The 21645-nt window shown below is 46.5% G+C and overlaps 1 protein-coding gene, 2 long non-coding RNA genes and 1 other non-coding gene across 7 annotated transcripts in view, besides 4 other annotated features; 2 read left to right on the top strand and 2 right to left on the bottom strand.

Moving 5' to 3' along the window:
* LOC100630923 (LOC100289561-PRKRIP1 readthrough) overlaps positions 1 to 21645 on the bottom strand; it is a 62822-nt gene that overhangs the window by 4744 nt on the left and 36433 nt on the right. Inside the window, 2 exon segments of the long non-coding RNA NR_038967.1 lie at positions 14441 to 14505; positions 17256 to 17341. This is a non-coding gene — a long non-coding RNA (LOC100289561-PRKRIP1 readthrough).
* PRKRIP1 (PRKR interacting protein 1) overlaps positions 1 to 21645 on the bottom strand; it is a 30304-nt gene that overhangs the window by 4728 nt on the left and 3931 nt on the right. The window contains exons 4-5 of the mRNA NM_024653.4: positions 17256 to 17341; positions 14441 to 14505 (exon numbers count right to left, since the gene is read on the bottom strand). Of these exons, the coding sequence (NP_078929.1) occupies positions 14441 to 14505; positions 17256 to 17341 (151 nt within the window). The remainder of the gene's footprint in view (positions 1 to 14440; positions 14506 to 17255; positions 17342 to 21645) is intronic.
* Positions 587 to 1117: an enhancer, noted in NCBI's record as "NANOG hESC enhancer chr7:102061269-102061799 (GRCh37/hg19 assembly coordinates)". NCBI's record gives its function as "activates a minimal SCP1, AML or CMV promoter by ChIP-STARR-seq in naive H9 embryonic stem cells {active_cell/tissue: H9 hESC(naive)}" and the evidence as "EXISTENCE:reporter gene assay evidence [ECO:0000049][PMID:30033119]".
* On the top strand, positions 829 to 16161 carry LOC105375433 (uncharacterized). Of its 4 annotated transcripts, none has more exons than XR_007060459.1 (3): positions 829 to 907; positions 9055 to 9261; positions 13775 to 16161. It is a non-coding gene; the product is annotated as an uncharacterized LOC105375433 (long non-coding RNA). The 4 variants fall into 4 exon arrangements; XR_001744971.2 differs by having other exon boundaries at positions 9055 to 9116; positions 13775 to 14607; XR_007060460.1 differs by lacking the exon at positions 829 to 907 and adding an exon at positions 5265 to 5530.
* Positions 5780 to 5859: an enhancer, noted in NCBI's record as "active region_26431". NCBI's record gives its function as "activates an Ori minimal core promoter by ATAC-STARR-seq in GM12878 lymphoblastoid cells {active_cell/tissue: GM12878}" and the evidence as "EXISTENCE:reporter gene assay evidence [ECO:0000049][PMID:35858748]".
* Positions 5890 to 6059: an enhancer, noted in NCBI's record as "active region_26430". NCBI's record gives its function as "activates an Ori minimal core promoter by ATAC-STARR-seq in GM12878 lymphoblastoid cells {active_cell/tissue: GM12878}" and the evidence as "EXISTENCE:reporter gene assay evidence [ECO:0000049][PMID:35858748]".
* Positions 6180 to 6249: an enhancer, noted in NCBI's record as "active region_26429". NCBI's record gives its function as "activates an Ori minimal core promoter by ATAC-STARR-seq in GM12878 lymphoblastoid cells {active_cell/tissue: GM12878}" and the evidence as "EXISTENCE:reporter gene assay evidence [ECO:0000049][PMID:35858748]".
* Positions 16084 to 16197, top strand: MIR548O (microRNA 548o). Its single transcript, NR_031669.1, has one exon. It is a non-coding gene; the product is annotated as a microRNA 548o (primary transcript).

Below are 21645 nucleotides of genomic sequence, written 5' to 3'. Positions count from 1 at the left end.
AGCATGTTCAGAGTAATTAAGCAGCACAGCTGTGTCATGAGAACACCTGGATCGGCTGCTAAATGGTAACAACAGGCTTTCAATCCCCACCTACTATGCTGTGTTTGGATTAAAGGGTTACTGGACACTTTTTTTTTTTTTTGGAGACGGGGTCTCACACTGTCACCAGGCTAGAGGGCAGTGGCGCGATCTTGGCTCACTGCGACCTCTGCCTCCTGGGTTCAAGCAATTCTCCTGCCTCAGCCTCCCAAGTAGCTGGGACTACAGGTGTGTGACACTACACCCGGCTAATTTTTTATATTTTAGTAGAGACGGGGTTTCACCGTGTTAGCTAGGATGGTCTTGATCTCCTGACCTGGTGATCTGCCCACCTTGGCCTCCCAAAGTGCTGGGATTACAGGCGTGAACCACCACACCCGGCCTTTTTTTTTGAGACAGGGTTTCCGCTCTGTCACCTGGGCTGGAGTGCAGTGGTGTGATCACGGCTCACCGTAGCCTCCTGAGTAGCTGAGACTATGGGTGTGTGCCACCACACCTGGCTAATTTTTGTATTTTTTGTAGAGACGAGGTCTCAACCATGTTGCCCAGGCTGGTCTCGAACTCCTGGGCTCAAGTGATCCTCCCTCATTGGCCTCCCAAAGTGCTGGGATTACAGGCATGAGCCACCGTGCCCAGCCTCATTTTTCAATTTTTCACCAACTTCTGTTCATGGCTTTTGGTGTTTCAACCTTTTATCCTTCTGCTTCTTCAGGTCACGCGTGGCAGTCATTCTTGGCTCTCTGGGCTACAGAAAAACACAAATGCTTCCTCTTTTTCTTATCACTGTTACCCACAGGGGATCTGCAGGCCTTTTTGATGTTTTCAACATTATCTTTACACAACAAAGCAGAGAACAAGCAAAGAAACTGTGAGTAAGCATGGAGGTCTGGGCACCGTGTGGGGCATCGTGGGGAACCTGCTGCTGGTGTGTGTGTGGTCTGGAGAGGCGTGTGCCTGTGTAGGGGAAAAATCTGGGTGTATGTGGAAAGGTTGTATTGCAGCTGAAGGAGGCTGGGAGGGTCTTCTGTCCCTGGGAGACACTGAATAATCCGTGTTGTGTATCTGCGTTTCGACTGTGACCTCTTGCATGAGGTTAGGGGTGGAATTCCTACTTGGAGCGTCATGTCAGTGTTCAAAAGCTCTGAATCTTGCAGCATTTCCGAGTTTGGATTTTTGGGTTTGGGATGCTCAACCTGTATCTCACTAATAGTCAACACAAGGGATTTTATGTGTGTGGAAGACCCACTGTCAGGGTCCAAGAGTATCATTCTCAGGGAGGAGAAACCCAGAAACCGGGGGCACAGACAAGTCATTTGGCAATTTGACAAAATTACCCCAGTTCATTCCTTCAACATAACAAATACATAACAGTAAGAAATCATCAAGTGGCTATTTCCTGTTAGTTACTATGCTTCATGTTGGTGATACAAGAATTAAAAAGATACTGTCACAAATCAAAACAAAAAGCACAACACATATATTAGGATGGCTCAAATTCAAAAAACGGACAATACCAAGTGCTGAGAAGGATGTGAGGTAAGAGAAACTATCGTTGCTGGTGGGAGTACAGCATGGAATAGCCACTTTGCAAGACAGTTTGGCAGTTTCTTACAAAGTTAACAAGATTAATCCTATCATACAACCCAGCAATCATGTTCCTGCAGATGTACTCAGTTGATGTGAAACTTATGTGCACACAAAAACTAGCACACAAGGCCAGGCACGGTGGCTCATGCCTGTAATCCCAGCACTTTGGGAGGCCAAGGCGGGCAGATCACTTGAGGTCACGAGTTCGAGACCAGCCTGGCCAACACGGCGAAAACCCATCTCCACTAAAAATACAAAAATTAGCCAGGCGTGGTGGCAGATGCCTGGCTTAGCTACTCTGAAGGCTGAGACAAGAGAATTGCTTAAACCTGTGAACCCAGGGGGCGGAGGTTGCAGTGACCTGAGATTGCGCCACTGCACTCCAGCCTGGGCGACAGAGAGACTCCATCTCAAAAACACACACACACACACACACACACACACACACACACACACACACACACACAAAAACACAAAAAAACAGTAGCACACAAATGTCTGTTGAAGCTTTATCCATAATCACCAAAACTTGGATACAACCAGGCTGTCCTTCAGTGGGTAAACGGTGGTCTATCTTGACGGTGGAAAACTACTTGGCAAAAGGAATGGGGCATTAAGCCACGTTCTGGTAAGCAAAAGAAGCCAATCTGGAAAGGCTGTATACGATTTAATTCCGACTCTATGACAGTGTGGAGAAGGCAGAACCACAGAGGCAGTAAACAGCTGCCAGGGGCTGGGGGTTGGGAGGAGGCTGAACAGGGGAAACACGGAATTGTTTTAGGGCAGTGGAATTATTCTGTATGATACGGCAGTGGTGGATACATGGTACTATGCGTTTGACAAAATCCACAGAACCTTACAGCACAAATAATTAAAACTTAATTATGCTATTTTTTTTTTAGACGGAGTCTCATTCTGTCACCCAGGCTGGACTGCAGTGGTGTGATCTTGGCTCACAGCAACCTCCACCTCCAGGGTTCAAGTGATTTTCCTGCCTCAGCCTCCTGAGTAGCTGGGATAACAGGTGCCCGCCACAGTGCCTGGCTAATTTCTGTGTTTTTAGTAGAGATGGGGTTTCACCATGTTGGCCAGGCTGGTCTTGAACGCCTGACCGCAAGTGATCTGCCCACCTCAGCCTCCCAAAGTGCTGGGATTACAGGCGTGAGCCACTGTGCCTGGCTGAATTATGCTAATTTTAAAAGTCATTTAGGAAGTCAGGGTCCCAGGATGGAACGCAGAAGGTGACACATGAATCCAAACGTATCATAAATGTACGAAATGACCTCTGTGAAGGGAGTGTGGGGAAAAGTGCTGATCAGCCAGGTGTGGTGGCTCATGCCTGTGATCCCAGCACTTTGGGAGGTTGAGGCCGGAGGATCGCTTGAGCCCAGGAGTTCAAGACCAGCTTGGGCGATAAAATGTAACATCGTCTCAAATTTTTTTTTTAAACATTAAAAACAAAGAAAGTGCTGATCTAAGTAATTCTTGAAATGAGTGGCCTCTGTAAGCTGTAAGGCTGAAGGGACTGCACATAGCAATGTCCTCTAGTTGATAATGGTGCTTCCCCCAGGGTAACGGTAAACAATTCTGAAACCATTATCCATGTATGCTGGCATTGAGCAATTAAGCAAATGGCTAGTGGATGGTGGTAGCAAAGATACTCACTATTGGAGTGAGAGGTGACAGAGAAACAAGGAGAGAAGGCTAGAATGAGCTATGTCATACTGGGCTAGACTTGGAGACATCAGTATGAACTCATGTTAGTGTAATATGGATGGGGATGGTTATGGGTATTAGTATTGACAGATATGTACATATATACTGGTGGAGTACACAGGTAAATTTCCTGGCTCTGTCAGCTGAGAGAGCCTAAAAGCAACCATCCAGTAGCACAGAACATGCCTAGTCCCCAGACCTTGGGTTTTAATACCATTTTAATACCATTTCTCTAAAAGCAGCCAGGGACCAGGCATGGTGGCTCACGCCTATAATCCCAGCACTTTGGGAGGCCGAGGCAGGTGGACTGTTTGAGGCTAGGAGTTCGAGACCAGCCTGGCCAACATGGTGAAACCCTGTCTCTACTAAAAATACAAAAATTAGCTGAGTGTGGTGGCACGTGCCTATAATCCCAGCTACTCAGGAGGCTGAGGCAGGAGAATTGCTTGAACCCGGGAGGCGGAGGTTGCAGTGAGCCGAGATCGCACCATTGCACTCCAGCCTGGGCAAACAAAGAGTGAAACTCTATCTTAAAAAAAAAAAAAAAGAAGAAGAAGAAGAAGAAGAAGAAGAAAGCAGCAGCCAGGACTTCTTGGACAAATGGCTGATCCCAGGTCCAGGGCAGGAAACACAAGACACGAGTCTGGAATATCCTATAGTACCAGGAAGTAAGGAAGCCAAGTGTGGTGGTTCATGCCTGTAATTCCAGCACTTTTGGGAGGCTGAGGCAGGGGGACTGCTTGAGCCCAGGAGTTTGAGACCAGCCTGGGCCATATAGCGAGACCCTTGTCTCTACAAAAAAATTTTAAAACTGAGCCGGGCATGGTGGTGCATGCCTGTGGGCCCAGCTACTCAGGAAGCTGAGGCGAGAGGATTGTTTGAGCCCGGAGTTTGAGGATGCAGTGAGCTATGATGGTGCCACTGCACTCCAGCCTAGGTAAGAGACCCTGTCTCAAAAAAAAAAAAAAAAAAAAAAGGTACCCACAATGATGGGACTTTGTCAAGGGAACACAGGAGCCAACTGAAAGAGCTCCCAATGGCCAAAGCTGGGAATACTATGAGTAGTAAAACAAATACAGTAATAATGGACTATCAAGTACAAAATGAATACCCACAAGCTCATACTGATAGATGGAAATGATTAAATAATGATAAATACATGGAAAGAAGAAATAACCCTAGCATGCAGAATGACTTCAATGACGCATGTAGATTCTCCACTGTCAGGGAGGAGGAACACAGCCCCACACTCCCTATGTGTGGGCTGCACACAACGACTTTCTTCTACAGAGTAACGTACAGGAAGGGGAAAAGAGAGTAAACATATGGGGGAGAAACCTGACCACACTACCTCAGCCATGTGATCAAGGTAAACATCAACAGTGATGGCACCAGCCTGGGCAACATAATGAGACCCCATCTCCAGAAAAAATACCAAAATTAGCCAGGTGTGGTGGCTCACACATGTAATCCCAGGACTTTGGGAGGCTGAGGCGGGTGGATCACGAGGTCAGGAGATCGAGACCACCCTGGCTAACACAGTGAAACCCCGTCTCTACTAAAAATACAAAAAATTAGCCGGGAGTGGTGGTGGGTGCCTGTAGTCCCAGCTACTCAGGAGGCTGAGGCAGGAGAATGGCATGAACCCAAGAGGCGGAGGTTGCAGTGAGCCAAGATCGCGCCACCACACTCCAGCCTGGGCGACAAAGCGAGACTCCATCTCAACAAACAAACAAACAAAACACCAAAATTAGCAGGGTGTGGAGGTGCGCATCTGTAGTTGCAGCTACTCAGGAGGCTGAGGAAGGAGGATCACCTGAGCCCAGAAGTTCGAGGCTGCAGTGAGGTGAGATGGTGCCACTGTACTCCAGCCTGGGCAACAGAGAGAGACCCTGTCTCCAAAAAAAAAAAAACACCCCACAAAACCTGATGGCCACGTTGGCAGTACAATGCCCTGATGTGTGGTGAGAAGGGTGCTTTCCCTCTGTGGTCCTCATCCCCAAAACAAACTACCCCAGTCAAATCATGAGAAAATCAGACCAATCCCAACTGAGGGCCATTTTATAGAGTACTGGACCCACAGAAAGTCTGAGAAACTTGTCACAGCCAACAGGAGCCGAAGAATGCGTAATAACACAATGTGACGCGGTGCCCTGGATTGGATTCTGGAGCAAGAAAAGGGCAGCAGGTAAAAACTAAGGCAGCTGGAATAATGTATGGACTTCAGCTAACAAGTGTATCGATGTGGGTTCACACACTGTGACCAATGTACCAGGTTAATTTAGGAAGTTAAACAATGGGGAGACTGGATATATGAGAACGCTCTGTACTATCTTTGCAATCTTTCTGTGAATCTAAAGTCATTCTAAAATGAGGCTTATTTTGAAAAAGATGGAACTGACATAGCTGAATGGACAAGCACCTTATCTGATCTGGCAGGGCCTGCAGCCAAGGGCACACACAACCCCATGGGGCAGGCTGGCAGGAAAGGCGACTTCTAGGGCCGGGGGCCGGAGGAAGGTGAGGAGAGGCTTTACACAAACAGAAAGCATTGTAAGAGGAAGCTGAAGGTGAAGAGAGCTTCTCCAGTCAGATGAGAAGTCAGGCGGCGTGAACAGAGTACAGGCAGCCTAAGCACATGCAGCGAGGCTGAGGGACAGAGAGCTGGGGGCATGTGGAAGGGAGTGAACAGACCAGCATGGTGGAGACCGGAAGGGGCCAGACCGTGAGGGCCAGGAACACTGGGGCTGCTGACAGGGTTTCACGCAGCATCGCCTCATGGGCGGGTGTGGGTGCCTGGGATCACACCCTGGCCTGCTGCCCACATCCTCTGCAGCTTTGTGGGTGCCATCACCGCATGGTGCCTAAGGTCTGTCATTAGTAAAATGGGGATAACAGCACCACTGACTAACCTCACAGGGCTGCTGTAAGGATTGTTAGTTAATACAAGCAAAGCATTTAGAACTAGGGGTACGTAAGAAGCATTCCGTGATCTTGGGTATTGTTGTAAAGGCAGAAGAATGACTGACAATCCAATGTACATTTTATAAAATAGCTTTGGGGCTGGGTGCGGTGGCTCACGCCTGTAATCCCAGCGCTTTGGGAGGCCAACGCGGGTGAATCACCTGAAATCAGGAGTTCAAGACCAGCCTGGCCAACATGGCGAAACCCCATCTCTACTAAAAATACAAAAATTAGCTGGTGTGGTGGCAGTCGCCTGTAATCCCAGCTACTTGGGAGGCTGAAGTGGGAGAATCTCTTGAACCTGGGAGGCGGAGGTTGCAGTGAGCTGAGCTGGCGCCACTGCACTCCAACATGAGTGATGGAGCAAGACTCCATTTCAAAAAACAGAGCTTTGGAGGCTGTACACAGGTGGGTGCGTGGGGGGTGGAATGGCAAGAGAGTGGGACTGCCTCCACAGTCTTGCAGGTCTGCACTGTATTTCTGTAAGGCTTTTTACTCAATCCCCAGTAAGACCTTGAGTGGCTCTCATGTGCCCCATTCTTACCCATGTGGAGGAAGAGTAAAATGTTGAGGATATGGTGAGAGTGTACCCTGTTACATACACTGTCAATGGTAAAAACTGGGGCTATCTCTTCGGAAAGTAACCTGCAATATATTTCCAGAGCCAGGAGTTCTTTTTATACTCTGTGATATAGTAATTCCCATGGTTAGAAATTTATCTTTATTATTATTTTTTTTTTCCTTTTTGAGACAGGGTCTCGCTCTGTCACCCAGGCTAGAGTGCAGTGGCATAATCACAGCTCACTGCAGCCTCCACTTCCCCAAGGTCAGGTGATCCTCCTGCCTCAGCCTCCCTTGTAGCTGGGACTACAGGCATGTGCCACCACACATGGCTAATTTTTTTACTTTGTGTAGAGATAGGGTTTTACCATGTTGGTCAGGCTGGTTTCCCAACTCCTGGGCTCAAGGAATTCGCCTGCCTTGGCCTCCCAAAGTGCTGAGATTACAGGTGTAAGCCACCATGCCTGGTTTAGAAATTTATCTTAATCTATCACCCCAGAAAGGGGGAAGGGAGAAAGACACAGGATATTCACAGAAGACAAGTACTGGAATCAATCTACTGTTTCATAAAAGGAGAAAGATTAGGTGTATTATGGCATGTCAACTGCTGGATATTACCAGTCACTAAAAAAATTATGAAGGAATTGCTTCATTAAGCAGTACGTGTATAATGTTAAATAAAATAAGCAAAATGGAAAACTTCCTATAATTGTAGCTACACACAAATGATGTGCACATGGAGACTAAGAGAAAATGAATAGAGAAAAAGGTGATCAATTCAGGAAATGATATTTGAGCTTTCTCCATAATTTCCTTCCCCCACTCTTTTTTTTTCTTTCTTTTTTTGAGACAGAATCTCACTCAGCCACCCAGGCTGGAGTGCAGTGGCGCATCTTCGCTCACTGCAACCACCGTCTCCTGGGTTCAAGTGATTCTCCTGTCTCAGCCTCCCGAGTAGCTGGGATTACAGGTACACGCTATTATGCCCGGCTTATTTTTGTATTTTAGTAGAGACAGGGTTTCACCATGTTGGCTGGGCTGGTCTTGAACTCCTGACCTCATGTGATCTGTCCGCCTCGCCCTCCCAAAGTGCTATGATTACAGGTGTGAGCCGCCGCACCTGGCCCTCCTTCCAGTACTCTTCTACTACTGTTTATATATTATTTTAAGATCCAGGAATCTGAGATTTTATTCACAGGCTACAGGCATACTGGGTAAAATGCCACTGACTGCAACTGAAGCACACACTTTGTTTTTAACAGATGAATGAATAGATTAGAAAAAAATCCTTGTAAGTACAGACTTGGGAAAACACTTGTGATACAATGTTACATGATAAAATCAGGACATCTATAAATATGGCATTTATAGAAATAAGGCTTATATATTAAAAAACTGAAATCAAAGAAATTATATTAAAGTGTTAAAGTCATTTTTAGTACAGGTTACAGATAACTTATATTTATTTACAAAATACAGACAGGGTCTTGCTATGTTGCCCACACTGGTCTCAAATTCCTGGCCTCAAATGATCCTCCAGCCTCAGCTTCCCAAAGTGTTGGGAGTACAGGCATGAGCCACTGTGCCCAGCCAACTTTTATTTTTGATGTTGTTCTTTTCTGCATATTTTAAAAATTTCTAAAATGATCATAGAGTATCTCTTTTTCCAAAGACACAAAGGACGTGGGTAGTTTTCCAACATATTATGTTGAAGGATTTTGGCTCTGAAAGAAACAGTTTGATCCAAACACATGCTGAGTGCCTTCTGGACACTGGATACCTGCCCCTAGATCAGGAGCTCTCAGACAGGAACAATTCCGTCCTCCTCCCCCACTGGGGTGCATCTGGTCGTGTCTGGAGACATCCAATTGCTGATGACTGGGGGAAGGTGGGTGCTCCTGGCCTCGGGAGGGTAGACACTAGGATGCCACGAGACACCCTGCAGTGACCAAGACACAGCCCCTCAGGACACAGCATTTTCCAGCCTGAGGCATCAGTAGTGCAACTGTGGAGAAGCTCTGCTCTAGATGTACCTAGTAACAAATCCCCTAAGGGCGCCCTGGATTTCTTTGATGGGCAGGCCTATGTTAGGATAAGTAAGAGTGGTGTGGGAATACATCATCTGGGGAGTTCAAGGCTGCAGAATAATCCACATTGGCTTAATGTCATCCTATGCTGTCATTTCAGACACAAGTCCCACACTGCCGGGAGTCTTCCCTGAGCTACTGGATCAGCACAGAAAACAAGCGGTGAGATGTCCTCTCCAACAACAGAACACCCAGCCAGCTGCCCCTCCTGCTTTTTAGGAGAAGAGCCAAAATAGCTTGAGTGATCTGTGCCTCTGAGTCCATCCAGGACCCACGGCGCACCAAAGCCACCTTGGGGCGCAACTCGGTATTACCACATTACTCCCATTTCTTTCCAGCAGATAACTGGAAAAGCTTGCTTACTCTCACAAAATGAAAAATAAGGAAACTGAGAAGGCAAGATAAGTGGCATACAAACCACTTCTTTTTTGGGACAGGCTCTTGCTCTGTCACCCAGGCTGGAGTGCAGTGGTGCAATCACAGCTCACTGCCGCCTCGGCTACCTGGGCTCAAGCCATCCTCCCACCTCAGCTTTCCAAGAAGGCAGGACTACAGGTGTGCACCACCACACCTTGCTTATTTTTAAATATTTTGTAGGGATGGGGTCTCATTTTGTTGACCAGGCTGGTCTCAAACTTCTGGGCTCAAGAGATCCTCCCACCTCGACCTACCAAAATGTTAGGATTACAGATGTGAGCCAGAGTCCAAGCCCAAACCACTTTTATGATGGTTATCCTTAGAACACTCTATTCTTCCCATTTGGTACAAAGCATGTACAATCATGGGGTATTAACCATTTTTTAATATGTTCAGGTGCTGGCTGGGCGTGGTGGCTCATGTCTGTAATCCCAGCACTTTGGGAGGCCGAGGTGGGTGGAGTTCGAGACTAGTCTGGCCAACATGGTGAAACACCATCTCTACTAAAAACACAAAAATCAGCCGGGCATGGTGGAGGCAGGGGTTACAGCGAGCTGAGATCACGCCACTGCACTCCAGCCTGGGCGACAGAGCGAGACCGTCTCAAAAACAAACAAACAAACAAACAAAACAACAACAACAACAAAGATGCCCAACATCACAAATCATTAGGGAAATGCAAATCAATACTATAGTGAGATACCACTTCACACCCATTAGGATAGTTACCTAAAAACAAAACAAACAAACAAAAAAAAAAACAGAAAATAAGTGTTGGTGAGGATGTGGAGAAATTATAGCCTTTTTGCACTGGTGGGCGTTAAAATGGTTCAGTTACTATGGAAAAGTATGGTGATTACACAAAAATTAAAAATAGAACTAAGGTCAGGTGTGGTGGTTCACACCTGTAATCCCAGCACTTTGGGAGGCTGAGGTGGGCGGATCACCTTAGGTGAGGAGTTCAAGATCAACCTGGCCAATATAGTGAAACCCCATCCCTACTAAAAATATAAAAATTAGCTGGGCATGGTGGTGCATACCTGTAATCTCAGTTATTAGGGAGGCTGAGGCAGGAGAATTGCTTGAACCCAGGAGGTGGAGGTTGCAGTGAGCCAAGATTGCACACTGTACTCCGGCCTAGGTGATAGAGCAAGACTCCAACTTAAAAACAAACAAACAAACAAAAAAAAAACAAGCAGCCAGAGAAAAACCACGGCAGCTTCACATGGTGGCTCACGCCTGAAATCCCAGCACTTTGAGAGGCCAAGGCGGGAGGGTCACTTGAGCTTAAGAGTTCAAAACATAGTGAAACCTAGTTTCTATAAAAAATACAAAAATTACCTGAGGGTGGTGGCACAGGCCTGAGGTCTCAGCTACTTGGGAGGCTGAAGTGGGAGGATCACTTGAGCCCAGGAGTTCAAGACAAGCCTGGACAACATAGTGAGACCCCATCTCTACAAAAAAATAACACATTAGCCAGGCATGGTGGTACACACCTGTAGGCCCAGCTACTCAAGAGGCTGAGGTAAGAGGATTGCTTGAGCCCACCAGGAGTTCAAGGCCGCCGCGAGCCGTGATTGCACTGCTGCACTCCAGCCTGGGTGGCAAAGTGAGATCTTGCTTCAAAAACACAAAAATGAAAACAAAAAACAAATTAAATGGTAGCCTTGAATCCAAACATATCAAGAAAGAGACAGACTGTCAGAATGAATTAAAAAACATAACCCAAACATTTGACGTACAGGAAACATACTTCAAATGCAGTGCTGTTTGAAAGTTAAAATCTAAAGGGATGAATGGAAGAGTAAGGGCCTCCAAAAATCTGCTCCTCCATAAAGGTAACAGAACACTGGCAAAAATCCTAAAAATCAACTTTTTCAGAACTCTGGAAATGCTCCTCGAGCTGTTCAAATGCCTGAACCTCACTAAGAGTGTGAGTTCTGTGAGTTTTAATTTCCCGTCTCCCTCTCCCCAGATCTGAGGGAGTCTTGAAAACCAAGAGCCCCCCTGCCACAGTAGCTGTAAAAATGGGAGGAGGCTGACTGGGTTGGGAGCTGTTGGAAGTTCCACTCCCAGGGTACTGGCCCTAGTTGACCTGTCTAGCAGTTCCCTGGAAACGTCTACCTGCAAGGCTTGTCTTTAGTTGCTCTGACTCAGTATTGAGTTGAGCTCACTCAACGTGAACAGCATTTTCCCCTGGGCGTTTGTCAAAAACCATCAGTGACAACTGTTTAACATCCCACCAACCAAGACAGCAGTAACGATTGACACAAACAAGAAACTGACCAAAAAGCTTAAAAGGAAAAGCTGGGACTCTAGAGGGCCACCAGAGCAGTGCACATGCCCAAGAAAGACAGCCAAGGCCCTGACCGCTCGCCTCTGCTGCCCTGGAGGCTCTGTGCAAGCAGGAAGTAAAGGCTACAGCAAATTGCAGACTGCCTGCCAGGGGGTTGGAGGCACATTCCAACACACACACAGAGCTCCTAGGCAAAGACTGGGAGATGCGGTGGTTCAAGACATTCAAGGAAATCTCTCATCTTCCACTGACCAACTAAGCTGACCGAGCAGAGACTTCAGAGTCCAAACACAACAAAGAATACAGGTTTTACAGAATTTGTTAGGAAAGTCACTAAACACACAAATAGCAACAATGACAATGATAAGCAGCAAAACCAACAAACCCTGAGGAGGGAGGGTCAAATTACTCAGCAAAGGAGATCTATTATTATTATTATTATTTTTTTGAGACAGAATCTTGCTCTGTCACCCAGGCTGCAGTGCAGTGGCACAATCATGGCTCACTGCAGCCTTGACCTCCTGGGCTCAGGCGACTCTCCTGCCTCAGCCTCCAGACTAGATAGGACGACAGGCGTGCACCACCACACCTGACCAATTTTTAAAACTTTTTGTAGAGATGGGGTCTCACTATGTTGCCCAGACTAGTCTTGAACTCCTGGGTTCAAGCAATCCTCCTGCCCCAGCCTCCCAAAAAGCTGGGACTACAGGTGTGCACCACCATGCCTGGCTGATTTTTTACTGTTTGTAGAGATGGGGTCTTACTATGCTGCCCAGGCTGGTCTCAAATTTCCAAATATAATAGGTCCAAGCTACAATAACCCCTTAACAGATTGTGAGAATAGCTTTTATGCCCAATCCTCCTACTTGGGCCAAGTACTTCCATGATCTACTGTTGCGGTGGAGGGGAAAGTGTTGAGGTACTTTATTTGAGAGATGAGGTCCTATCAGTCACATTTTAGCAATTTAAAATAATTTCTTCTAGGAAAGGGTGAGAAACAACCTAAAACCATATCCGATGTGTCACACAGTACATTTACAACTCATAAGGAAGTGGTTCCTAGAAGTGGCCAATCATATTTTATTTTATTTATTTTTGAGACGGAGTTTCGCTCCTGTCACCCAGGCTGAAGTGCAATGGCACAATCTCAGCTCACTGCAACCTCTGCCTCCCAGGTTCAAGCAATTCTCCTGCCTCAGCCTCCCGAATAGCTGGGATTACAGGTGCCTGCCATCACGCCTAGCTAATTTTTGTATTTTTAGTAGAGATGGGGTTTCACCACGTTGGCCAGGCTGGTCTCGAACTCTTGACCTCAGGTGATCCACTCGCCTTGGCTTCCCAAAGTGCTGGGATTACAGGCATGAGCCACCACGCCTGGCCTGTTTTATTTTTTTGAGATGGAGTTTTGCTTTTGTTGCCCAGGCTGGAGTGCAATGGCGTGATCTCGGCTCACTGCAACCTCAGCCTCCTGGGCTCAAGTGATTCTCCTGCCTCAGCCTCTCAAGTAGCTGCGATTATAGGCACGGGCCACCATGCCCAGCCCAATTCTATTTTAATACGTCAATGAAAGTCTGACTTCACCCTAAAACCAAAAACCACAATCATGCACTCAGGAAGCAGATCCAGTCAAGCATGGAATAGCCATAGATGCAGTCATGTGGGGGACAGTGTCATTTTTTGGTCTCTTAGCATCCTTGGCCCTTTCCAGCTGGGGCCCCCCACCCTTATTCACAGCCCATGAGTTCCCAGGGATGGGGGATAGCACCACTAGCATTGTGATGAGTTCAGAGGCGGCAGGATTGGCAGCACGGTGGGATGCTGACCTAACAGCCAACCCTGCCTCCTACTCTTCCTTATTAATGGGACCTGGATCTGGCTAGGGTGGCAATGTACTCAGCTCGCAGTGCTGGATCACGATAGGTTTGAGTTGGTTACAACAGTTCTGTTTTCTATTCCTCTAGCCTGACGGCAGCTAGTGATGGCAAAGAGACCTAGTATCTAAGGTGATGTCTTCTGGGCACTTCTGGAGAAACTTTTGCTCTCCAATTTAAAAAAGGCAGACCACATAAGTACCACCTCACTCCCCTTCTTCTTGCTTTGAACACAGGTACGGTGCCAGAAGCCATGGGAGCCACCTCATACTCTCAGGGTAAAGGCCAGGGAACGTGCGGGGGAGCCAGCCTACACTGCTGAGCCACATCACGCTGCCACCTACTACCAGATTTCTCATCCTGTAAAAACAACCAACTCCTCGTGGTTTAGGCACTTTGTTGCTGCATTTTGTTGCTTGTAGCCAAAAGCATTCTTACCTGACCTGGCAAGTGACTCAATCAGAGCCAGAGAGACACAAAAAGACTTTTGCTAGGAAAGCTGAGACATCCTCTCAATTTTCCCTCCTGGACAAGATCGAGGAGGGATGTAGCCCCGAGAGCTGCTGCAGGCACCTCAAAACCATGAGTGTGAGCCTGAGGACAGGACATCAGGACAGAGGGGGAGATGTCAATAACCAATAATGTCACTGATCTCCCTGACCAGCCATGCCAGAAGGGAGGTCTGTCCTCAACCTAACTTGAACCAGTATCTTTTTGCTTAAGCCAGTTTGGTTTTCTGATACTTGCAATTCAATGGGTCCTAGCTAATATGAATAAGCTGTTATTTCTTCAGTGGCCAGCCAACCAGCCCAAACTCTCCGTCCCTGTGTTTCCTGACAGTTCAGCCACTGTGACCAACAAGAAGAAAGAAGCTACAGCCAAGAAAAGTGGGCACCACTCACCTTCTTGTTTCTTCTGTTCAAGTTTCATCTTCTTTGCCAGTAATTTCTTCTCTTTTAACTTCTGGCTAAAAATGTAAAACCATATACATTGATTCCTTAACTACATTATGGTATATTTTAGAAAATAAACACCTCCTTATGGTATCTCTAAAACCTGCGGAATAACACAAACATTACAATAACAAAATAAGAAAAATATTAGGTGAGTGCAAAAGTAATTGCCGTTTTTGCATTGCTGGAATTTGCTGTTTGATACTGGAATATCTTCTTTTTTTTTTTTTTGAGACGGATTCTCTCACTCTGTCACCCAGGCTGGAGTGCAGTGGCGCAATCTCAGCTCACTGCAAGCTCTGCCTCCTGGGTTCACACCATTCTCCTGCCTCGGCCTCCTGAGTAGCCTGGGACTACAGGCACCCGCCACCACGCCCAGCTAATTTTTTGTATTTTCAATAGACATGGGGTTTCTCTGTGTTAGCCAGGATGGTCTCGATCTCCTACCTCGTGATCCACCTGCCTTGGCCTCCCAAAGTGCTGGGATTACGGGTGTGAGCCACCACGCCCGGCCTATATATTCTTAAATAGATGTGATTATGTTATACATCATTTTAATCGGCTTTTTTTTTTTTTTGCTAATGACTTATTACTTGTTTATGTTTAGACTATGAAAACGATGCTAGACAAAAAGCCAATTCAAGTGATTTTCTTATTCAAATTCAAAATGGGTCGTAAAGCAGTGGAGACAACTCACAACATCAACAACGCATTTGGCCCAGGAACTGCCAATGAATGTACAGTGCAGTGGTGGGGCAAGAAGTTTTGCAAAGGAGACAAGAGCCTTGAAGATGAGCATCGTGGCCAGCCATCAGTCATTGGACAATGACAAATTGAGAGCAATCATGGAAGCTGATCCTCTTACAACTACATGAGAAGGGGCCAAAGAACTCAGAATCGACCATTCTACAGTCATTCAGCATTTGAAGCAAACTGGAAAGGTGAGAAAGCTCGGTAAGTGGGTGCCTCATGAGCTGAGCGAAAATCAAAAAAATCATTATTTTGAAGTGCCGTCTTCTCTTACTCTACGCAACAACAATGAACCATTTCTCGATCAGATTGTGACATGTGATGAAAAGTGGATTTTACATGACACCTGCGACAACCAGCTCAGTGGTTAGACCAAGAAGCCGCTCCAAAGCACTTCCCAAAGCCAAACTCGCACCAAAAAAGGTCATGGTCACTGTTTGCTGGTCAGCTGCTGGACTGATCCACTACAGCTTTCTGAATCCCGGTGAAACCAGCACACTGGAGAAGTATGTGCAGCAAATCGATGAGATGCACTGAAAACTCCAATGCCTGCAGCCAGCACTGATCAACAGAAGGGGCCCAATTCTTCCCCAGGACAATGCCCGACCACGAGTCACACAACCAATGCTTCAAAGGTTGAACAAATTGGGCTGCGATGTGTTGCCTCATCCACCATATTCACCTGACTTCTTGCCAACCGACTACCACTTCTTCAAGCACTTTGACAACTTTTTGCAGGGAAAGCACTTCCACAACCAGCGGGATGCAGAAAATGCTTTCCAAGACTTCTTCAAATCCCGGAGCATGGATTTTTACGTTATAGAAATAAACTTATTTCTCATTGGTGAAAATGTGTTGATTGTAATGGTTCCTATTCTGATCAATAAACATGGTTTGAGCCTAGTTACAATGATCTAAAATTCACGGTCCAAAACTGCAGTTACTTTTGCACCAACCAAAACTTTTGCATGACTCTGCCAGTCCGTCCTTATCAGCTGCTTTCATTAGGATTCAAGAGCAAATCCCAGGGAGCCCTGAGGCAAAGCAACCTCAGAAATAACAGGGGTGCTTTTTAAAAAAAAATTTTTTTTATTATTATTGTAGAGACAGGGTTGCACTTTGTCACCCAGGCTGGAGTGTAGTGGTGCGATCATAACTCACTGCAGCCTCAGCCCCCTGGGCTCAAGCGATCCTCCTGCCTTGGCTTCCCAAAGTGCTGAGATTACAACTGTGAGCCACCATGCCTGGTCCCTAAAGATGCTTTTTCATTTCAAGATATTTAGGGGCTGTTGTTAGAATCCTCCTCAGCTCTCATTGTAAAAGTTGAGAGACCACTTATGTAAACACACAGATACACATATAAACATACAGCCTATATACCATGTAGTCACTTGAGGGAGTCATAAACCGTAATTTAAGAAACATGCTAAATGGGAAGTTTGGTTGCAGCACCTTGTTAAAATACAGATGCGGCCGTGTGTGGTGGCTCATGCCTGTAATCCCAGCACTTTGGGAGGCCGAAGCAGGCGGATCACCTGAGGTGAGGAGTTCAAGACTAGCCTGACCAACATGGTGAAACCTCGTCTCTACTAAAAATATAAAAATTAGCTGGGTATGGTGGCAGGCACCTGTAATCCCAGCTACTCAGGAGGCTGAGGCAGGAGAATTGCTTGAACCCAGGAGGCGGAGGTTGCAGTGAGCCGAGATTGTGCCACTGCACTGCAGCCTGGGGGACACAGTGAGACTTTGTCTCAAAAAAAAAAAAAAATACAGACCTGAAGGAGACACAGAAATCAATGTGATCACTGAAGTCCTGACTTGCAAGCTCTGGACAATCTGTAACCAGTTGGAGGGTCATAAGGAACTTGCTCTCTGCTCAGGTAGTAGAAGTCATTGCTCTACATTCATGACCCCTACAGGTCATGCAGAGGAACTACTACTGACTGCAAGGACAGCTCACCCAGCCACCACCCCTGGCCCTTAAGTGTCATCACAGTTAGGCCATGCCGCTTACCGCTTCTTCCGGCGCTTTGCGGTCTGCTCCTCTGCAGCAATTTTATTCTTTTCCAGTCTTTTCTGAAACTCTGCATCCAATTTTTGCTGCAACAAAACCCACATCATTTAGACACGCTCTGGTCTGGGCAGACTGTGGGAGGTTTTGCTCAGGCAAAGTAGGAGAGTTCTAGAAGTCACACCACTGGGGGTGACGGAGGCACTACCCGGGTCCCCAGGGCCATTTTAACTTTAAAAGGCTGTCCCAGAGGCAGGGCAGGTAATCAATACATAGGTCTCCGATGGCGAAGTAACTCTTTTAGTTGACTGAGGCACCACTCATGCATAGCACAATATAGGAGACAATACAGGAGGGAGTGCAGAGGACACTCTGAGGGCAGCGCTCACCATCTGCTCAGCCGGGGCCTTGGATACTGCCCAGAGCTCATCAGAATGAATGGCCGGAGGGTCAGAACCATGGAATTTTCAAGCCCTAAGCCCAACCATAGTTACCAAATGGCTGAGTTTTTTTGTTTTTGTTTTGAGACAAGGTCTTACTCTGTCGCCTAGGCTGGAGTGCAGTGGCACAATAGCTCACTACAACCTTGAACTCCTGGGCTTGATAGATCGTCCTGTCTCAGTCTCCTGAGTACTTGGGACTATGGGTGCATGCCATTACATCTGGCTAATTTTTATGTTTATTTTGTAGAGACAGGTCTGGCTATGTTGTCCAGGCTGGTTTTAAATTCCTGGCCTGAAAGGATCCTCCCACCTCAGCCTCCCAAAGTGCTGAGATTACAGGCCACTGTGCCCAGCCACCAAATGACTGATTCTAAAGCAGCGTAACACACGCCATCTGCTGCCATGACCTGCTGCTAAGCACACACCCACACCCACACAGATATTTGTAAGTACTGCATTACTTCTTCTCAGCAGTTCTGTCTCCAAGCCTCAGTCTACTCATCTATAAAATGGGGAAAATTGTAATTCCTCTCTCCCAGAGCTGTTAGGAACAATAATGAAATAAGGGTTTGGGCACAATGGCTCATGCCTGTAATCCCAGTACTTTGGGAGGCTGATACTCAGGAGGCTGAGACAGGAGAATCACTTGAACCCAAGAGGCAGAGGTTGCAGAGACCGGAAATTGCGCCACTGCACACCAGTCTAGGCGGCAGAGGGAGACTGTCTCAAAAAAAATAGAAAACCACCTGTAAACTACAAAGACATCTACTGATTCAAAGTGTCATCTCTTGTTTCTTCCAGTCACAGCCATAAAGGTCAATGGAGCAAAAAATAAGGAGCCGGCAAAGGAGGAAGAGGTGCCTTCAACACCTCTGCTGGTCTGCACCGCCAGGGCTGTACGCATCTGCTTACAGTGGCACAGAAACCAAACCAAACAAGCCCTCTCTCTGAGGGCAGAAAATATTCCTTCAGGAAGGAAATCAACTTTAATTAATCAACTTTCTGGACAACCAAAAAGCAAATGACTTAAATCTAAAAGATCTGATTTGCTTAGAAGCTGAGCTGTGAAGTCCGGGTGCGGTGGCTCACTCCTGTAATCCCAGCACACTGGGAAGCTGAGGTGGGCAGATCACCTGAGGTCCAGAGTTCGAGACCAGTGTGGGCAACATGGTGAAACCCTGTCTCTACTAAAAACACAAAAATTAGCCAGGCCAGGTGGCAGGCACCTGTAATCCCAGGTACTCGGGAGGCTGAGACACTAGAATTGCTTGAACCCAGGAGGCAGAGGCTGCAGCAAGCCAAGATTACACTCCAGCCTGGGTGACAGAGTGAGACTCTGTCTCAGAGAAAAAAAAAAAGCTGAGCCGTGAATGTCTTACTCTGTGCTGCTGAAGAAGCCAAATTTACCAGCAAGTGAACTAAACAGAGCCCCCGCTGGCTGCCGCACCTGGCAGAGGCAATGTCTCAAGCAGGGGTGAGTGGGACTGGGCTCTGATGGAGGTGATCTGTCACTAAAAAATGAGGACGTGCTTGCCTTTTTTTTAAATCTCAGAGACTGTCTTTTGCCATCCAAAATAAGAATCTTTGCATTTGCATAGAGGCCAAGGTTTGTGAAACATTTTTCTGTATTTTCTCTGAATCTTGAATCAATACATAAAAACTTCAGACGAATTTATAGTGTTTGAGACAGCAACCTACTCTATGTCCTCCCCTCTAAAATAGTTTATAAAAGTGTTTCTTCTGATAGTAGTTTCTTTTCCTTTCTCTCCCTCCCTCACTCCACCCCCCACCCCCTTTCTTTCTTTTTGAGACAGCGTCTGGCTCACTAACTCAGGCTAGAGTACAGGGTGTGATCACAGCTCACTGCAGCCTTGACCGTCCAGGCTCAAGCGATCCTCCTGCCTCAGCCTCCCAAGCAGCTGGGACTACAGGTGGCTACCACCACATCTGGCTAGTCTTTGTATTCTTTGTAGAGATGGGGTCTTGCCACGTTGCCTGGGTTCAAACTCCTGGGCTCAAGTGATCTTCCCACCTTGGCCTTCCAAAGTGCTGGGATTACTGATGTGAGCTGCCGCACCCAGCTTGATGGTTTCTATACACAGAGCATTATTTTTGACAGGCAAACCCACTGCAGTGACCTGGTAGAATTTTGTGACAAAAACTGTCTAATACTTCTCACTAGGATTGAGACTGTTACCAACAAAAGATGGCAGAAACAAGAAGAACCACCAACACCCAGGGGCCAGGAAAAACTACAGGACAAGCAAGTATCAGTTGACAGCCAGCACAACAATGACCCCATTCTGTTTCCAGAGCAGGACATTTTTTCTTCTTCTTTTTTCAGAAGGAGTCTCACTCTGTCGCCCAGGCTGGAGTGCAGTGGCACAATCTCAGCTCACTGCAACTTCCGTCTCCCAGGTTCAAGTGATTCTCCTGCCTCAGCCTCCCAAGTAGCTGGGATTACAGGTGTGCACCACTGCGCCTGGTTAATTTTTGTTTTTGTTTTTTTTGAGACAGAGTTTCACTCTTGTTGCCCAGGCTGGAGTGTAATGGCGCAATCTCAGCTCACCGCAACCTCCAACTCCTGGGTTCAAGCGATTCTCCTGCCTCAGCCTCCCGAGTAGCTGGGATTATAGGCATGTGCCACCACGCCCGGCTAATTTTGTATTTTTAGTAGAGATGGGGTCTCACCATGTTGGCCAGGCTGGTCTTGAAATCCTGACCTCAAGTGATCCACCCACCTTGGCCTCCTAAAGTGCTGGGATTACAGGCATGAGCCACCACGGCTGGCCCCCCAAAGCAGAATTTTTTCTAACTCAATTTTGGCCATTCCAATAAATTCTTACATATTTTCTTCTGTATCCTGGCTGTCTCTTTGGTTTAAATTTTCCCTAATGTTTTATTTTGAAAATTTCAAACAGAAAAGTTAAAAGAATTATACAGCAGATATATCCACTGCTCTTTGACTCAACAATTCCTGTTGTGCTGGATTTTCTTTATCACACACCTATTGATCTATCCATACCTCTATTGGTATGCACTGTATTATGTCTTCCCAGCAGTCCTGTTTCCAAGCCTCATTTTCCTCATCTATAAAATGGGGAAAATTATGATTCCTCCCTTCCAGAGCTCTACTCATACATCTATTCCTCCACTAATTCATCATTTTTTTGTTTGTTTGTTTTGGTGCATTTCAAAGTAAGCTGCAGACATCGGGAAGTTCCATTCTTGAACATTCAAGCATGCACGTTATTAAATAGGGTTTCATATTTGTGTATGCTTTTCTTCTTCCTTTTAAAGTAATAGCTGGCCGGGCATGGTGGCTCACGCCTGTAATCCCAGCACTTTGGGAGGCCGAGGCAGGTGGATCACTTGAGGTCAGGAGTTCAAGACCAGCCTGGCCAACATACTGAAACCCCATCTCTACTAAAAATACAAAAAATTAGCCAGGCATGGGGGTTGTGCCTATAGTCCCAGCTACTCAGGAAGCTGAGGCAGGAGAACCACTTGAAACTGGGAGGTGGAGGTTGCAGTGAGCCAAGATCACCCCACTGCTCTCAGCCTGGGCAACAAGAGCAAAACTCCATCTCAAAATAATAAATAAAGTTAGTATCTACACAGAACCAAATGCCCAGATCTCGAGTGTACAGTTTGATCACCCCAGAAAGTCCCCTCATACGTCTTTTCCCAGTCAACCGTGACCCCAACCAGATAACCAGTTTTTTTTTCTCACACAAACTAATTGTACCTGCTCTAAAACGTCATATAAATGAAATTACACAATATGGTCTCTTTCGTGCAAGGCTTCTTTTACTCACCATGTTTAAAGATTCATCCCAGTTGCTGTACAGATCAGTAGTTTGTTCCTTTTTATGGCTAAATATTACAATATTTTATGATTATTTCTTGGTGTTATTTTTTTTTTCCTTTTTTTGAGATGGAGTTTCACT

This window comes from Homo sapiens, chromosome 7, assembly GCF_000001405.40.
Source record: "Homo sapiens chromosome 7, GRCh38.p14 Primary Assembly".
Classification (NCBI taxonomy): Eukaryota; Metazoa; Chordata; class Mammalia; order Primates; family Hominidae; genus Homo; species Homo sapiens.
The sequence above is the reverse complement of the archived record's forward strand: the minus strand, read 5'-3'. Positions and strand labels throughout refer to the sequence as shown.